The 18,383-nt window shown below is 40.6% G+C and overlaps 1 protein-coding gene across 20 annotated transcripts in view; it reads left to right on the top strand.

Annotated features, from left to right (window-relative positions):
* ANKRD44 (ankyrin repeat domain 44) overlaps positions 1–18,383 on the top strand; it is a 343,767-nt gene that overhangs the window by 177,115 nt on the left and 148,269 nt on the right. For all 20 annotated transcript variants that reach the window (NR_160034.1, XR_923062.3, XM_047446287.1 and 17 more), the window contains 4 exons: positions 7,629–7,829; positions 8,198–8,285; positions 10,874–11,016; positions 12,122–12,334. Coding sequence is in view for 18 of the 20 variants with exons in the window: in XM_047446287.1 (XP_047302243.1) it covers positions 7,629–7,829; positions 8,198–8,285; positions 10,874–11,016; positions 12,122–12,334 (645 nt within the window). In the remaining 2 variants the exon portion in view is untranslated. The remainder of the gene's footprint in view (positions 1–7,628; positions 7,830–8,197; positions 8,286–10,873; positions 11,017–12,121; positions 12,335–18,383) is intronic.

The raw sequence follows: 18,383 nt of genomic DNA, 5'->3' as shown, positions 1-18,383 counted from the left end.
TGGTTTCAGCTGAGAGCTGGCACAGGTCTGTTCTTTAGATTGGTAAGCACTGATATTACATGTTCATGTGTTTGAAACCATTTCTTCATTGAAAAGTTTATAAACTCTATACTGTCTGTCCTCAAAGCCTATTTGCTTATAAAATGTAGATAATTGATCTCTCAGGGTTTGAGGTTCAACCAGGGAAGCAGAACCACCATGAGAGATACAGAGCAAGATATTTATTATAGGAATTAGATCTTACACAAGTGTGTAGGGCTGCTGTGGTCTGTGTGAGGCTATCACCTTGGATTCTGTGAGGCCCTGAAGTCACTGTAGGTCAGCAGAGTCTACAGTGGAAAAGCTGGATGTAAAATGGGGGAGATCAAGGACAAACTGGAACTGAGGTCTGTCTAACACTGCCTCCAACATCATGGACATGGGTGACTTGCAGAAGGAGTTGTGCATGCACCTGGCCCAAGAATTGGAGAAACTGAAGGAGATGCAGCAGGATCTGAAGAAGCATCAAGCCAGGCACTGCCCCTTGCCAACGTGGTGATCCAGCCGATTAGTGTCATCATGTGAAGCTGCAACACTACCTGGTGCCCAACAGCATACCAGTTAGGCTGTAGTTTCACTTATGCCTTCCAAAACTCATCAGATATCTCTTGTGGCCAACCCTAAAGGGAGTACTACAGGGAAAGGAATTCTGGGAAATTTAGTTCAACTCAGCCAACTTGGCACAATACAAAACTACCATAGAAATTGTTGTTCTATTTGAATTAAAAAGATCTTCTAGACAGTAAGCTCCTTGAAATGTATGCCATGCCTATTGCTTGCCGTTGTATTTCTAGCATCTTGCCTAGTTAGAAAAGAATTGTTTTTTTTTTGAGTTATTCATTAAAGACTGGGTTTTCAATTTAAGCTATAATAATTTTCTGTGTACAACTGGTAAGATAGAACTGGTATACACCATATCAGAATGTTGATGGTAATAATCTTTTATGCATGCAGGGTGAACAGAGTTGAAGCATGTTTATGGGAATGTGTACACTAAAAGCCAACTAAGCCACTGAAACCTGCAAAATCAAGGCTGGTTTTGCAATTGCATATAACACAGATATCAGTCTAAGTCAAAATTTTGGAGCCTTGTTTTCATCCAGGCAAGATTTATGTTCAGATTTCTGTGTCTGGAAAAATAAGGTGCATTGCTAAGTTCATTTCCTGAGTATGTTAAGCAATAAGGGTGTCAGATCATAATATTGATTAAATATGAATCCATGCCTGACATTATGTCCTCCATAGACAAGAAAGTAGATCAAGACATAATCACACCTCTTGAAAATCTCCTAAAATATAACTGAGCTCTAGAGATAAGTCTTGAAGACTTATGTGATGCTGACCAGGCTGTCTTGTGTTTTCCCTTCTAGACACAATTCCACGACCCTTTCCTACCCCCAACCTGCTCCCCACATCTGGCACATCTGGGATTCCCAGGTTGGAAACAGCTTGGAGCCCAACAGCACTGTCTCCTTTTTGGCTCCCTAAGGGCTTCTCTGAACTCATTCTCCTTTTTTTTTCTGTGTACTCCCTAGGCTGTGAAGAAATGAAGAGAGGCTCTTACTAAAATATTAGAGAAACATCTTTTATAGTGCCAGCTAACATAGATAAGCAAGAATTGGGGCTGCCAGTGGGAATATTCTGAAGTGTTCATGTGAAGCCTATTTCATATTATTTCCTGTGTTCAGCTTGTTCTTGCTTTTTTTGCTTTTCTTTCTTGGAAAAGAGCAACTGTAGGGGAAAGGAACGAAATGTACACAAACCCAGAAAGTCTAACGCACGTTTATGGAAGCCCACTTGGTAGAAGGCATTGTTAAGTGTGCTACAGGAGGCCTAAAGTGTGTACAAAGTGTGGCTTTTAGTTTTAGTATACAGTATTTGGGGAGATAACCAGGCATGCAGGCTGCTGTGGCCTATGTGCAGACGTGGCTGGCCCGTCCCAGGTGCCCTTTCTGCTATAACCAGTTGAGAGGAGCATCAGAGGAGAATTGCTGAACTTTTCACTTCTCCATTCTAGAGACTGTCTTTTGGTTAGAAAAGTTAAAAATGGTTGTATCTTATCTTTAGAGTGTAGGAGTGAGGACACTGTGTCCATGTAGGTGTTGTAGTTACGAGTGTTTATTAAGTACTTACTATCGCCGGGCGCGGTGGCTCACGCCTGTAATCCCAGCACTTTGGGAGGCCGAGGCGGGCGGATCACGAGGTCAGGAGATCGAGACCATCCTGGCTAACATGGTGAAACCCCGTCTCTACTAAAAATACAAAAAATTAGCCGGGCGTGGTAGCGGGCGCCTGTAGTCCCAGCTACTCGGGAGGCTGAGGCAGGAGAATGGCGTGAACCCGGGAGGCGGAGCTTGCAGTGAGCCGAGATCGCGCCACTGCACTCCAGCCTGGGCGACAGAGCGAGACTCCGTCTCAAAAAAAAAAAAAAAAAGTACTTACTATCTGCTAGGCAGTATGCTAAGGACTTTCTGTATATTATTCTCTTTTAACCTCTGATCCACCCTTCGAGACGGATGCTATTGGCAATACTAGTTTAGGAAATGTAATCTCAGAAAGTTAGTAGGGAGCCAACGAAGTTGATGTCACAGCCAGAAAGTGGAGGAAAGTGTGACTAGAGAAGCTGCCTGCTTAACCACCATTCTGTGCTGCTTTCTTCAATTCCCATTAGCACCCTTATGGAGCCTGTTCTAGCCAATAAAGCACATCTATTTTTGGCTTCTGTGCAGACAGAAGACCCAACTGGTATACAGATCTTTCCCAGAGCTGAGCAGGATAAGCATTTTATTTTACAGTTGAAATTTTAAAAACTTATGTTCTACCCTTTCCTCTAAAAAACATGATCATTATTGTGGGCTTAATGCTAGTAGACAGGAGAATTGGAAACATTATATGGAAGAGTAGAATGTTATTGTTTTCTTTAAATTATCTTCGTGATTATAAAAAGTTGTTCATGTGTAGAATATAGGTCATATCTGGAATAGGAAGAAAGTAAGCATTTTATAATCTATTAGAATGTAGACAAGCGGTACCCAGCTTTAGTGCATTTAAACTCTCTGGGGTGTTTGTTGAAACTTCCTGTTCTAAAACCTCACCCCTAGTGATTCTGAATGAAGCCTGTGGTTAGGCCCAGAAATTTGCCTTTTCAAAAGAAGATTCTGATACATGTCGTCTACATGCCACACTTCGAGAACTGAGATTAAACACTGGTCATACTTTAGTGTCTGCCGTTCCTAATGGTTAAAGTCAGCACTTCTTAAATAGTTCGCTTAGAATTCTTTCATATCCCAAAGTCTCCAGTGAACTGCCTTTGCACTCCTAGTTCTTAGAATAATTGTGCTGTAATAATAATTAAAATAATGGGTGAGTTTTTTTGGTGCTTGGTACTTTGGTACTTTTAGAGGAACAATCCCATTAATTGAGCAAATTGGTTGGACATCAATTTATACAATTCTTACAAAATATGAAATTGCTATGATTACAGTAATATAGCATAAGCCTGCAGGACTTAAGAGCAGCCTCAGGGACATCAGCCCAGAGTAATGTAAAATTAACACTTACAGATTATTACTTACAGACTTTGCTGATGATTACAGCAATGTATTTATTCTACCCAAATTTATTGAATATACACTATGTGCAAAGCAACTGCCAGGCTTTGTGGAGAGTACAGACAGTTGTATAACATTTTGACCCCTATCTAAAGCAACTTGTAATTTATAAAACTTGACATTGCTTATGGCTGCAGGGACTATGTGTAGTCATAAACAGTTACTTTTCCATGAGTAATTTATGACCACTGAAATGCAATGCACATTTGAGAGTAAAGAAACAAATATTAAGGATGATAGTTTCTAAGACACATGCCTCCTATTCTCATCTTTTCCATGTGCCACAGTGTATGTTTCTACTTCTTATTTCAAGGTTGAAGTGGCCTTTTGTTAAATAAAAAGAGTTGTAAAAAGTAGAAATTGACTGACTCGCAAATGGCATGTCCAGTTACCTCCCATATGACATCCCATGACAGCTCCTCCTTTCTATTATTTCTGCATCTTATATAGGACAGCCTGCTACAGGGTGTCATCCAACAAGGCCTACAATCCTAAAACAGAACGTTAACTGGGCTGATGCCTCCATTTGGGGGAAATACCAGAATCCTCACAGGTGTTCGTTCATTAAGAAAGAAACAAAGGTCCAGGCGCGGTGGCTCATGCCTGTAACCCCAGCACTTTGGGAGGCTGAGGCAGGCGGATCACTGAGGTCAGGAGTTCAAGATCAGCCTGGCCAACATGGTGAAACCTTGTCTCTACTAAAAATACAAAAAAATTAGCTGGACGTGGTGGCGCATGCCTATAATCCCAGCTACTCAGGAGGCTGAGGCAGGAGAATCGCTTGAACTGAGGCACAGGTTGCAGTGAGCCGGGTTGGTACCACTGCACTCCAGGCTGGGCGAAAGAGCAAGACTCTATCTCAAAAAAAAAAAAAAGAAAAAGAAACAAACAAAGGCTTTGAAGGAGCATGATTCACAGCATGCCTGAGCACTGGGGCTGGACTGTGAGCTTTTATCTTATCTGTTGTGAAAAGAGTAGGTGGTCAGAAACTTTTAGGGCAATTTGATAATTTCATGCCCATTAACTTTAATAATAAAATAATTACATTTATAGTTTTTATCTCATTTTTATTTCATTTTATTATTCTACTGATTACTTTTTATTGTATTTTACAAAAGTATTGGCTCAAAAGTGATGGATTTGAAATAATAACTATTTTTAGAAAACTGGTTCTTTACCACAGACAGTTTGAAAAACACTGTTAAAGAAACTTTTCTTGATGGATTAAAGACTTAAATGTAAAACTCAAAACTATAAAAACTGTAGAATAAAATCTAGGCAGTGCCATTCAGGACACAGGCATGGGCAAAGATTTCATGATGAAAACACCAAAAGCAATTGCAGCAAAAGCAAAAATTGACAAATGAGATCTAATTAAACTAAAGAGCTTCTGGACAGCAAAAGAAACTATCATCAGAGTGAACAGGCAACCTACAGAATGGGAGAATATTTTTACAGTCTATCCATCAGACAAAGGTCTAATATCCAGAGTCTACAAGGAACTTACACAAATTTATCAAGAAATAAAAAACCCCTTTAAAAAGTGGGCAAAGTACATGAACAGGCAGTTCTCAAAAGAAGACATTCATGCAGCCAACAAACATGAAAAAAAGCTCGATATCACTGATCAGTAGAGAAATGCAAATCAAAACCACAATGAGATACCATCTCACACCAGTCAGAATGGCAGTTATTAGAATGTCAAGAAACAAGAGATGCTGGTGAGGTTGCAGAGAAAAAGGAAAGCTTTTGCACTGTTGGTGGGAATAAATTAGTTCAACCATTGTGGAAGACAGTGTGGTGACTTCTTAAAGATCTAGAAGCAGAAATACCATTTGACCCAGCAATCCAATTATAAATCATTCTATTAGAAAGATACATGCATGTTTATGTTCATTGCAGCACTATTCACAATAGCAAAGACAGAATCAACCCACATGTCCATCAATGATAGACTGGATAAAGAAAATGTGGTACCTATACACCATGGAATACTATGCAGCCATAAAAAGGAACAATATCATGTCCTTTCCAGGAACACGAATGGAGCTGGAAGCTGTTGTCCTTAGCAAACTAACTCAGAAACAGAAAACCAAACACCGCACGTCCTCACTTACAAGTGGGAGCTGAACGATGAGAACAGAGGGACATGTGAGAAGGAACGACACACACTGGGGCCTGTCAGTGGGGAGAAGGGAGGGAGAGCACCAGGAAGAATAGCTAACAGATGCTGGACTTAATACCTAGGCAATGGGTTGATCTGTGCAGCAAACCACCATACATGCATTTACCTATATAACCTGTACATTCTGCACATGTACCCTGGAACTTAAAATAAAAGTTGATTAAAAAAAATTTAACAGAAGAAAAATAATCTTTTCTTGATTCAGGAAGTGTTCAGCTTCCCTTCCCCCACATTAGTTTCTTTTTTACCTTGTATATTTCTGCCAGAGCAAGCTCCTGGGTATTAATTTTTAGCCAATATGTGATACAGGAGAAGGCAGACTTCTTTAATTAAAAAAAAATTAATTCCCTAAATAGCCATCAAATTACTCCCTTGTAAAACCAAGTTAAAGAGCTTCCAAGCTTAAAACTTTTAAAAGAGAAATGCAGTTTTTAAAAAGGTAGTTATCTGTTTTTAATCAAAGCTTTGTTTTTGCCAAAATATTATATTAAATTTCTATTATATGTATTAAGCCAGTGTAGCAGACTAAAACTTTAGGATTTAAAAATGTAAATAACTAAGGAGAATTAACTGTTGAATCTATTTATGTCAGGATGCTTGACTGAGACTACTCACTGAGTAAGCCTAGTAGAAAATGGCCTGTTAGAAAATGCAAGAGCCCATAAGTCAGCCAGGCTGACAGGTCATTGCCCTGGACTTCTGTCATCTTGCCTATAAAATAAAGCTGCCTATGAAATGAAGGGGTCAGCTCAGATGAACCTTAGGGCTTTCTCCATTTCTAATATTCCATATGTCTGTGAATTTAATTCCATAATCATTTTAAACTACTGTATTTTTTTTTTTGAGACAGGGTCTTGCTCTGTTGCCCAGGCCGGAGTGCAGTGTCATGATCACAGCTCATTGTGATCACGTCAAACTCCTGAGCTCAAGTGATGCTCCCACTTCAGCCGCCTGAGTAGCTAGGATTTAGAGAGGTCCACAACACCACTCCCGGTTGGTGCAAAAGTAATTGCGGTTTTTGCCATTAAAAGCAATGCAATTACTTTTGCACCTGTATATATGTTTGTCGATTTTTTTTTTCTTCGTTAGAGATGGGGTTTTGTTATGTTGCCCATGCTTGGCTTCTGTGCTTTTAAGAGCTGCATGGATGACTCCATTGCATAGCCAGGGTTGAAAGTCATAGATCAAGAGGTTAGGGAGCTGACTGGGCCAATAGAAGAAAAAATGTGGGAGGCCCAATGAAGGTGAAGGAACTCAACAATGGCAAAAGAAGTGACCCATTATAACATGGAAAAGATGGAAACAACTCATAGCTTTAAGTTGAGATGGTAACAGAGATGTTACTTCCCGTCTTGACCACTTATTGATCACACGATGCTGAGGGTTAAGATGTTGGCAGAGAGAACCAAAGATTTATAAACTGATCCAAGAATGTCTGAGGTCTTTTTGTCTATGGTTATTTTACCCTGGTATGCACACTTGCACATGGGTGTTCTCATTTGGCCTAAGAGTGCCTTCTACATTGTAAGGACATCATCATATACTTAGAAGGTTTATTTGATTTTAGAGATGTGCCGGGGCTCTTGGCTTGACAAAGAAAGGTAAAGTGATTCTGTCTTTATCTTTGCCACTCTTTTGATCTTTACCAAATATTACCTGGCTTGTCTGGAGCCAGCCTGTAGGGTTGGGGAGCCTTTCTCTCCATAGTTCCAGGGTTTGGTGAAGCATCTTACACCAGTAAGTATTGATTGAACGTCTGTCAGTGACCTCTGCAAACTCTGCTTTTGTTGTAGGAAGCAGTACAGGTTTTGATTAAGCACTCAGCTGATGTCAATGCAAGGGACAAGAACTGGCAGACCCCTCTTCATGTGGCAGCAGCCAACAAGGCTGTCAAATGTGCAGAAGTGATCATTCCCCTGCTGAGCAGTGTCAATGTCTCCGACCGAGGGGGGCGCACAGCCTTGCACCATGCGGCTCTGAACGGCCACGTGGAGGTGGGTATTTTTATCATTCAGAATTGGAACGCTCCCTCCAGGACTTTCAGCCACAAGTGGAAACTGATCTTCTTGCTGAGATTTTAAAGAATGTGATGAAAATATTTGTACACCAAACCTTCAGCATCTATATCATTCTCAACTTTAGAGCCACAATGAATTGAAAAAGTAGGCTGTCACTTCAGTCTTTTCCTCTGACACACATGACACATGTCCTGCTCTGACATCATATTTCTACTTTGTCAGAACTCCAGATCTCTGACCTGCCTTTAGATTTCATGTTAATTTGGCTCAGATCATCTGCAGGCAGTGAGGAGGCCTCACCATTACAGAATGTATGCTTGATTTCATTGTTGGTTATCTTTCAGATGGTCAATTTACTCTTGGCCAAAGGGGCAAATATCAATGCATTTGACAAGAAGGACCGGCGTGCTCTGCACTGGGCAGCATACATGGGTAAGGATTCCATGCATGGAAAGCAAAGTACAGATAACCTTAACTAAATAAGCCATGGGTCTCTCATTGACCATGTAGGTTTTCTCCAGTCTGACTTCTTTTCAAGCTTGGGTTGCAATTGAATGAAGATTTGGTTGGTTTTACTGGCATGCATAGTGCACTCCAGTCGGGCAGTTGCTTTGTCAGATATTTATTTATCCTACAAAGAAGAGGAGGAATGAATCATGGCTTGGGCCTCTTTGAATGTGCTTCAGTCTGGATTGGAAAGCTGCACAGATTGTGCTTATTTTAACTTGTCATGGCAGTAAAATAAGGTGTTTTAAAAAGAAAGAGCACTGGCTCGGAAAGCAAGGACACAAATTCCATTCGTCTTTTTAAATTTATAAATATTTTTGAAAGAAACAAAAAGAAAGGAAGAAAAGACAAACCTCTGGCTATTTTATAGATGGAGGGCACCAGAGGCGCTGGTGATTATCCTGATAGTCCACTGACGACAAAACTGAAGCCTGCAGCCCTCATTTCTACCCGCTTGGGAGAGTTCACATTTCTACGTTTTTCCTTTTCACTTTTGTTGGCAAATCCCACTGACAAATGAGAGATCTCACAGAGTTTATTCTAAGTGTAGACTTGTGGGAAATGAAGAACTAAGATATTCCCTTTGTGTTTCTAATTGGAGAACATCCTGCCATTAGAAAAATAGACAGGATTCTATCAGCACCAAGTTGTAAACAACCTGAATGCCCATCCACAGGAGATTGTTTTGGTAAATTCTGGAAGATCCACACAAGGGGACACTTTGCAGTAACTACAGTGATGAGTCCATGAGTGTTTATTAACACAGAGTCTGTGATATGTTAAATGAAAGCATATTATAAAACAGTATAAATAATATAATTCTCATTTTCATTGAAAAATCTGTACAATAACAAACTTGGAAAATATTATATGCTAAAATTTTAATTGATTGTCTTTGGGGATTTATGATTGTGGATGATTTTGGTTTTCTTTTAATACCTTTTTGCCTTTCTGAATCCTTTTTAACAAGCATATGTGCCTTTTATCATCACTTTAAAAATTAACATTAATTGTAGGGAGAAAGAGTAGGTTGGGGCAGGGATGAAATAAATTATGTGGCTAAAGGTGGGTCTGAGTGAATCCTTGGGCTTAAAAAAACAGAATCTTAAACTTTTACAAGCATTAGCATTTAAAAAAAAAAGTTGACATGGATTTTTGAGTTGGCTGAAGCATATGAAATGACTGCGTGGCACCTGCAGGACTGGAGCCAGTGACTGTGGGAGACAGCTGTGTAGGCCGAACACACACTAAGCTAGTGTGGATAGGACTCAAAGAATGCAAAGTTTCACGATTGCTCTCTGCTGATGTATATACAGTTAAAGCATTTGGATAAATGACTCTAAAGAAATCAAATCATTGTTTTGTGTGCTGTCAGGATACAAATAGGAATAATAGGCAAAACCAGGGCAAATAGCTTAAGATAGCAGCACTAATAATCGAAAAAAATTTTTTCTATATAAAGTCTTGGAGAGAAAAGAGTCAAATTTTAATAAAACAAGCCAATACTTTCCCCCCACCCCAACACACACACAAAGTCCTGGAGTCAGTACTTGTCTTCTACCCTTCAATTTTCAGCCATATTTAGAGCAATGATCCTGAAGCATTGAACAATCTTCAGTCCCGAAATAAAGGTCAAATATGCTTGTTTCTTTGTTTATTTATTTATTTATTTTTTGAGACAAGGTCTCGCTCTGTTGCCCAGGCAGGAGTGCAGTGGTGTGATGTCGGCTCACTGCAGCCTCTGCCTCCCAGGTTCAAGTGATTCTCATGCCTCAGCCTCCTGAGCAGCTGGGACTACAGGCATGTGCCACCATGCCCAACTAAGTTTTGTATTTTTAGTAGAGATGGGGTTTCACCATGTTGTACAGGCTTATTCTATATATAGTGAATTATGGAACAGAGTAAAATATTGTAGAAAAAAATGCTAACAGGAGCTAAAACTAGAAGGGTTTTCTGTTTGGCCTCTAATTCATGAGGATACTTTTAAGTTGAGGCATATGTAATTGCCATTTTTGTGGGTCCAAATACAGTTGAGCAGCAGTAATTTTATATGATTAAACAATAATCTGGGGTCATTCTCATTAATTGTTTTTTTTTCTTTTATCAGTTTTTCCTAACTGAATTGTCATTGTTAAACTTTTCAGTGAGGAATGGCAATTGTTTTCAAAAGCATTGCTTTCATTTTAATACAACATTTTTAAAGGCTCTCTACTAATATCTTGGCAAAACCTCACCATTATTCATTAGTGTGGTAACAAGCATCACCTAGATCTCCTTGAAGAGAAGGCTCACATATGAATCATCTTTTTTCTCCCCACAGCTTTTACATTATGCCTGACTATAGGAGGTACTCAATAAATATTTGTTGAATAGTTGCCATGAACCAGCTTTTTACAAATAACTCAGCAAAATACTGGTGGCGATGAAAGCTAATAGTTGATAATTTAGGTGAAATGAATCAGCAAATTGTCCTATAAAGGTTAACGATGTTTTCTGCTGCTTTGTTTGTAAAGGCCACTTGGATGTTGTAGCATTGCTCATTAACCATGGCGCAGAAGTGACCTGTAAGGATAAGAAGGGTTATACCCCTCTGCATGCTGCAGCCTCCAATGGACAGATTAATGTTGTCAAGCATCTCCTGAACCTGGGGGTGGAGGTGAGCTATGATGAATGCATCAATGCATGGCCAGTGTATTTGTAAGATTTCTGTTATTCTAAAGTTAAATCCTGTTTGCACTTTAATTCAAGGGCAGGGGAATTGTTTTCTAGCATCCTGTCTTTTTGAGTTTTTGTGGGCAACTGATGAAGGGCAGTGGGGGCATACACTAAGCAGAGGAAAACTGGAAACTGAATAACTTTCTATATCAACATAGATAAATATATAGACATAAAGATTCTATGTAATATATATTAACCAGTTGTTCTTAAAGACTGGCCAAGGTTCTGCATCCCACCTTCCAAATGTAGCCTTCTAAGTCATGACTTACAGCAGAAATGAATGAATAAATGGCAGAGACAAACAGCAGCAATGTCTACTCTTGAGCTGGAAAAGGCAGACTGCTGCCTTCTCTTTCTGCTGGTAGAACAGGAGCAGTGGTGAGGCTGGAACATCCTGTCCCCCAAGAAAGGAAAACCAAGTTGCATCATTATGGAAAACCATAATGAGGAAACCAGGCATCCAGGGCAGGTCTCAGAAAGCAATAGGGAGCCGTGGACGAAACACACCTCCTGACGGCACCACTGCTCTGCTACTAAAATGCAACCTGGTGAGGTGTCGGACTCCAGAGCAAAACAGAGAGTGGATTCTGACCCGCCTTCCATGTTTAGACTCCACAGCCACCTCCCCTGCCATCTCCGCAGCCACTTCCTCTGCCATCCCCCACCATTTCTTGAGGTTTTCTGTGCCCCAATCCTAGAGTGTGGGACTCTTTTCATTCTCCTCTGATTTACTTCTCTTTTGGTGTTTTGAAAGCAGCTTTGCCCTTCACCTTTTATTCCTTTGTTAGCTGAAAAATACCTCTCCCCAGGATGAAACTTCTCTGTCTCCAGTTCATTTTTTGCCACATTGACTTTTTGCTGATCTTTACCATGGGGTGACAAGCATTCCCAAGATGACCACACTGGGGCAAGAGTAAGCTCTGAACAATTATATTGGCGGATGGCTATTTCCTTTCTCTAGCCACAGCCGTTATGCTTTTTGTGGAAAATGGAGTAAACTGGCTCTAATGACTTTAATCACCCTGTGTTGGACTCTTTTGCAGATTGATGAAATCAATGTCTATGGAAATACAGCGCTTCACATCGCCTGCTACAATGGACAGGATGCTGTGGTTAACGAGTTGATTGACTACGGTGCTAACGTGAACCAGCCAAACAATAATGGGTTCACCCCTTTGCATTTTGCTGCTGCCTCCACTCATGGTGCTTTGTGTCTTGAATTGTTAGTAAACAACGGGGCAGATGTTAACATTCAGGTATGACACTCTTAGTCTCTGTGTTGAATGCCTTTGCATTGAGCTTCTGTTTGAGCAAAATCAACTGCTGCAAATTATGCCATGTTTTAGTGAGTTGGAACCTCACAGCCTTGTCCTGGATTTGGAGGCTATAAGAAAAGTTGTCTGGAGGCTGAGGCAGGTAGATCATGAGGTTAGGAGTTCAAGACCAGCCTGACGAAGATGGTGAAACACCATCTCTACTAAAAATGCAAAAATTAGCCAGGCGTGGTGGCGGGTGCCTGCAATCTCAGCTACTCGGGAGGCTGAGGCAGAGAATTGCTTAAACCCGGGAGACAGAGGTTGCAGTGAGCTGAGATTGTGCAACTGCACTCTAACCTGGGCAACAGAGCAAGACTCCGTCTCAAAAACAAAAAAAAAAAAGTTGTGTTATTTTTCTTCAGGAGTGGTGGTATCAGCTGAAAGGTACCAAGGCTCCAGCCGTGTGTTCTTGTTAGCTTAGTGAATGTGTCAGGACAAATACTGGATCTCTAGGATATTGACTTGCCCAGAAGCTAATACTGAGGTGAATGTTGAGCTGATAGGGCAGTGTTGCTAAGAATTCAAAGGAAGGCCTAATAATGATTGTAGGCCTGTTTCCAACTCCAGTGTGGGTTTAGAGCTTCTCAGATACCTTCTTTCTTTTCTTTCTTTTTTTTTTTGAGATGGAGTTTTGCTCTTGTCACCCAGGCTGGAATGCAATGGCGTGATCTCAGCTTACTGCAACCTCTGCCTCCCAGGTTCAAGCGATTCTCCTGCCTCAGCCTCCCCAGTAGCTGGGATTACAGACATGCACCACCATGCCCAGCTAATTTTTTGTATTATTAGTAGAGATGGTGTTTCACCATGTTGGCCAGGCTGGTCTCAAACTCTTGGCCTCAAGTGATCCACCTGCCTCAGCCTCCCAAAGTGCTGGGATTACAGGTGTGAGCCACTGTGCCCAGCCAATACCTTCTTAAAGCAAACCCCAGATAGTGGCTTCAGTGATGTAGCACTGAGCTGGTCATCACAATCATTCCTTTATTCAGCAAATTTACTAAGGACTACCCAGTGCCCTCTGTTTGGTACTGAAAGAGTGCTCTAAGATGAGATTCAGTCTCTGCCTTTAAGGAACTTACAGTGTAGTAGGGAGGTAGCATGCACTCAGGTAATCATGAGCAAGAGAAGATATGATGAGAAGAGTCATAAAGCATTGCAAACTCTAAGAAGCAATTGTTGACTTGTTTTTTGCTTGGGAATAAAAAATGGAGATCGATTTTGAGGGGAGACTTGGAAGATTAATGTAGTTGAGTTGAGGAGGGATAGAGATAATTTGAGAGAGAGTGTTCCAGATAGAACAGCATGAGCAAAGAGGGGTGGGAATTCTGGATAGGAAAACCTCTAGGTAACTTGTCAGCTTGCCATGTGACAGCTAACCAAGGGGAGCTTATCACGCAGCATTCATAATTTGGGCGACATCACTTGAATGCATTTAGATTGTAGCAGAATATCCTTAGCTGTGCTAGGAGACCTTTTATTCAACCCAGGCTTCCCTTCTTCCCAGCACACAGGGATCCTGAAGCAAGGTCCCAGTGTATTCTGTCTCTGGTTTTGAAAAATGATTTCTAAGGTGTAATTTCAAGAATATCACATCAGTCTATTTTAATAACCTTCTCTATTCACTATTAAAATCTTATATTTTTTCACAATTTCTAATAGTGGTGAAAGATGTGACAAATTTTCAGAATAGCAATTGATTGTATCAAATAGAGTATAATTTTATGAACATGCCAAGTGTGGTGGCTCGGCCTGTAATCCCAGCTCCTTGGGAGCCTGAGGTGTAGGATTCCTTGAGCCCAGGAGTTTAAGATCAGCCTGAGCAACCTAGTGAGATCCTGTCTGTAAAAAGCTTTTTTATTTTTAATTGTATGACAGAAAGGAGCCAGAAATGAGCTGAAATGTGATTTGACCAAGGAAGAGGACTCATCTACTGGATGATTTTGAGCCCAAGGAGCTTGGGCCTCTCCAGGCTCTGCAGGCCACGAATCATTCTAGGGGTCATATGATCAGACCTGAGCATTAAAAACAGTAATCCGGTCACAGAACACCAAAGGCAGGAAAAAAAAAGGAAAATAATCATATATATGACTACAAAAAAGTCTTAAACATTTATAAAACAAAACAACAACAATAAAACCTCTAACATGAAATTAAAATAAGAGCAACTTAGGGAAAATTTTCTTCAATATACATGATAAGCAAATAGTTAATATGCTTGATATAAAAAGAGCTCATACAAATCAATAAGAAAAAGTGATCATTACTAGAAAACATGGAGCAAAAGTCAGATCACAAGAGAGAATAAAAAATACATTAAGCCTGTGAAAAACTAGTATTACTGGTAATTAGAAAAATACAAACTAATACAAAAACGTACATTTGTGTTAAAGAACGGCAAATATCAAAATGGCTAATAACACCTAGTATTATCAATGAAAACATTGAAATGCAATAAAGAAATATGATCTCTTTTTTAATGCTAAAATGTTATGGTTATGTGTGTAGATGATGCAAAAACAGAGAAAATTCTCTGGAGTATGTACCAATATGCTAGCAACAATTATCACTGCAGAGAGACAAAATTATGATTTAGGTTTTTCTTTCTTTCTTTCTTTCTTTCTTTCTTTCTTTCTTTCTCTCTCTCTCTCTCTCTCTCTCTTTCTTTCTCTCTTTCTTTTGTTTTTGAGATAGAATGTTGCTCTTGTCATTCAGGCTAGAGTGCAATGGCAGGATCTTGGCTCACTGCAACTTCTGCCTCCTGAGTTCAAGTGATTCTCCTGCCTCAGCCTCCCGAGAAGCTGGGATTACAGGCACCTGCCACCATGCCCAGCTAATTTTTGTATTTTTTTGTAGAGAGGGGTTTTTGCCATGTTGGCCAGGCTGGTCTCTTAACTCCTGAGCTCAAGCAATCCACCCACCTCAGCCTCCCAAAGTGCTGGGATTACAGGTGTGAGCCACCACGCCCAGACTTTAGTTTCTTTTTTGTGTATTTGCTTTAGTCTTCTGATTGTGATACAATGAGAATTTTAAAAAATTATTTTTATTATTATTATTTTTTTATTGAGACAGGATCTGGCTCTGCTGCCTAGGTTGGAGTGCAGTGGTGGGATCTTGGCTCACTGCAACCTCTGCCTCCCAGGCTCAAGCCATCCTCTGGCCTCAGCCTCCCGAGTAGCTGGGATTACAGGTGTACGCCACCACGCCCTGCTAATTTTTGTATTTTTTTGTAGAGACGGGGTTTTGCCATGTTGCCCAGGCTGGCCTCCAACTCCCGAGCTCAAGTGATCTGCCTGCCTTAGCCTCCCAAAGTGCTGGGATTACAGGCATGAGCCACTGCACCTGGCAGAGCATGTTATTTTTATATCCAGAAAACCAAAAAAGCTATTTTCACTTTTGAAAAAAAGAAAACCCAGGTATAGTGGACCTAGAGAAGAGCTGATTAGTGGATAACTAGAAATCAATAAAACTGGCATTGGTAAGAGGTAATAAGAGAACAGGGGAACGGGACTGAAGGGAGAGGCTTTGCAGAAAGAAAATCAGCAAGACTTGGTGGGACATGAACTGGAGGAGTTGAAGACTAATGTAAGGATTGAAATGTGGCAAAGAGGCCAGGCGTGGTGGCTCATGCCTGTAATCCAGCACTTTGGGAGGCCGAGGTGGGTGGATCACCTGAGGTCAGGAGTTCAAGACCAGTCTGACCAATATGGTGAAACCCTGTCTCCAAAGATACAAAAATTGGCCAGGCGCGGTGGCTCACGCCTGTAATCCGAGCACTTTGGGAGGCCAAGGCAGGCAGATCACGAGGTGAGGAATTCGAGACCAGCCTGACCAACATGGTAAAAGCCAGTCTCCACTAAAAATACAAAAATTAGCTGGGTGTGGTGGCGCATGCCTGTAATCCCAGCGACACAGGAGGCTGAGGCAGGAGAATTGCTTGAATCTGAGAGGCGTAGGTTGCAGTGAGTTGAGATCCCACCACTGCACTCCAGCCTGGGCAACAGAGCAAGACTCTGTCAAAAAAATAAATAAATAAATAATAAAGGAAGGAAGGAAGGTAGGAAGGAAGAAAGAAATCCGGCAAAGAAAGGTGGTGCAGCAGAGTAGTTAAGTGTTCCGTTCTGGGGCCAGACCGCCTAAATTCCAATCCTAGCCTTGACTTTTAGTATCTATATAATCATAAACAAGCTCTTTGTGTGTCTCAGTTTATCTGTAAAATTAGGGAAACAATAGTGTCTTCTCCATGGAACTGCTGTGAATATTAAACAGCTTTATCATACATAAATCATGTAGAATAATATCTGCCACATGATAAGCACTAGAAAAATAGATGTTATTATTGATGTTCATTAAGAAAGACGTCAGGAGGAAGAGTAGGCTTAGGGAGTTAAACCAATATATTTAGTTTTTGACAAGCTGATTTTTAGGTTTTGGTATAGCCAGTCTGAGAAGCCCAATAGTGTCAAATGTGGTGTTCTAGCATGGCAGACTGGTAGAGAACAGAAGAAAAAATGTAGATTGCTTCATTCATGTAAAGGTGATTGTTGAAACCAGGAGAAAGGGACGAGACCGCCCAAGGAGAGAGTATGTAATAGCATGAGTACAGAAAGTGAAACAGCCCTTTACTCTTAGGAACAGGAGGAGGAGAAAGAGCCAGAGAAAGGGATGATAAAAGGAGTTAGAGGAGACAGGAAGGAGTGTCGTGTTTTCATGAAGATGGAAAGCAGACAAAAAAGAATGGGGGCATCAAAGAGACCAAGGAACTGTCGTCTGAGGTTGGTAAGGAATCTTTGCGTGAGGCTGAAGTCGCAGAGCGTGGTGTTGAGGGGGCAGGAAGCACGTGGGTGGTCAAACTGCCAGCGTTCCCAAAACTGTAGACATCTGTCTTGCCATCCTGGTATCTGAAGGACATCCTGTGAATCCTTCAAAGGAAGGGAAATTATTGGAATTTAATAAAGGCGCTCTCTTTACCAACCTCCACTTAATTAATTCACAGAGTTGTCTGATGCACTTCATTTTATCTGTAAAACATGCCACCAATGCTCTCAGTGTGCCCCATACCAGAGGCTAGAAGGCTACTCTCTGGCACACCGGCCTACTGCTCCCAGTTAACTGACCAGTGGTCAGTTCAGATTGGATAAGGGACTTCAGCTTCTGTGATACATTGGTTTTTGCAGCCCCTTCTTCCCTTCCACAAATGGAGCTGAAAAGCATAATTCCTTAATTTTAATATTTATTTTTTTCCTGTGGACTGCTGATCATAACTAGAATATAAGAAATGCCATTTTAAAACTCTGAGATTTGAGTTTATTATGATTGACTCTGTGTAAATAGGATTTTGAATCAAATCTAGCCTTCATTCTCAGTCTCCCTTCATCTATTCTGTCTGTATCCTCCGATTTCCTAAATCTCTTTGAATCCTCCTTAGTTATTCCAGATTCACTCTGGATGCACGGATCATCTAACATTTCCATAGAGCCATCCTGTCTGACTCTGGAGGTAGCTGTCTAATTAAAGTTGTTATCTCTCTGTACCACATTGCTCCTTGGATTTTGAAAGTGTTTGTAGATTGCAAGACAATTTGTATTTGTTTAGATTTTCCAAAAGTTGAGGGAAGTAGCATATTGAAATGCAGCCATTACCTATCCACATGTTCACTTTGTTTTCCTCTATTCTCACAAAATAGTAAAAGTGATGTCTTCATGAGCAACTAAAAGATGGATGGGAAGAGGAGGAGGGATGTGTGTTCAGCCTGCATTTCACAGTTCCTCATTTTGCTTACATTGATTGACTCTGGTCCTGTTTTTTGACTTCATGATATGAGTTTAATTGTGATAAAATAAAGATATACTTTACTGATACAATAATCAATTGATGGTTTACTTATAATTTGTAAATAGGTAGAACATGAGAAAGTATAAAATATTTTTTCTTTTCCATTAGAGACTACATTGTAATTTCTGTAGCATCTCAAGGCTCTTTTAGCAAGCATTCA

The sequence above is a fragment of the Homo sapiens genome, chromosome 2, assembly GCF_000001405.40.
Source record: "Homo sapiens chromosome 2, GRCh38.p14 Primary Assembly".
Classification (NCBI taxonomy): Eukaryota; Metazoa; Chordata; class Mammalia; order Primates; family Hominidae; genus Homo; species Homo sapiens.
Note: the sequence above shows the minus strand (reverse complement) of the source record. Positions and strands in the feature narration are given on the sequence as shown.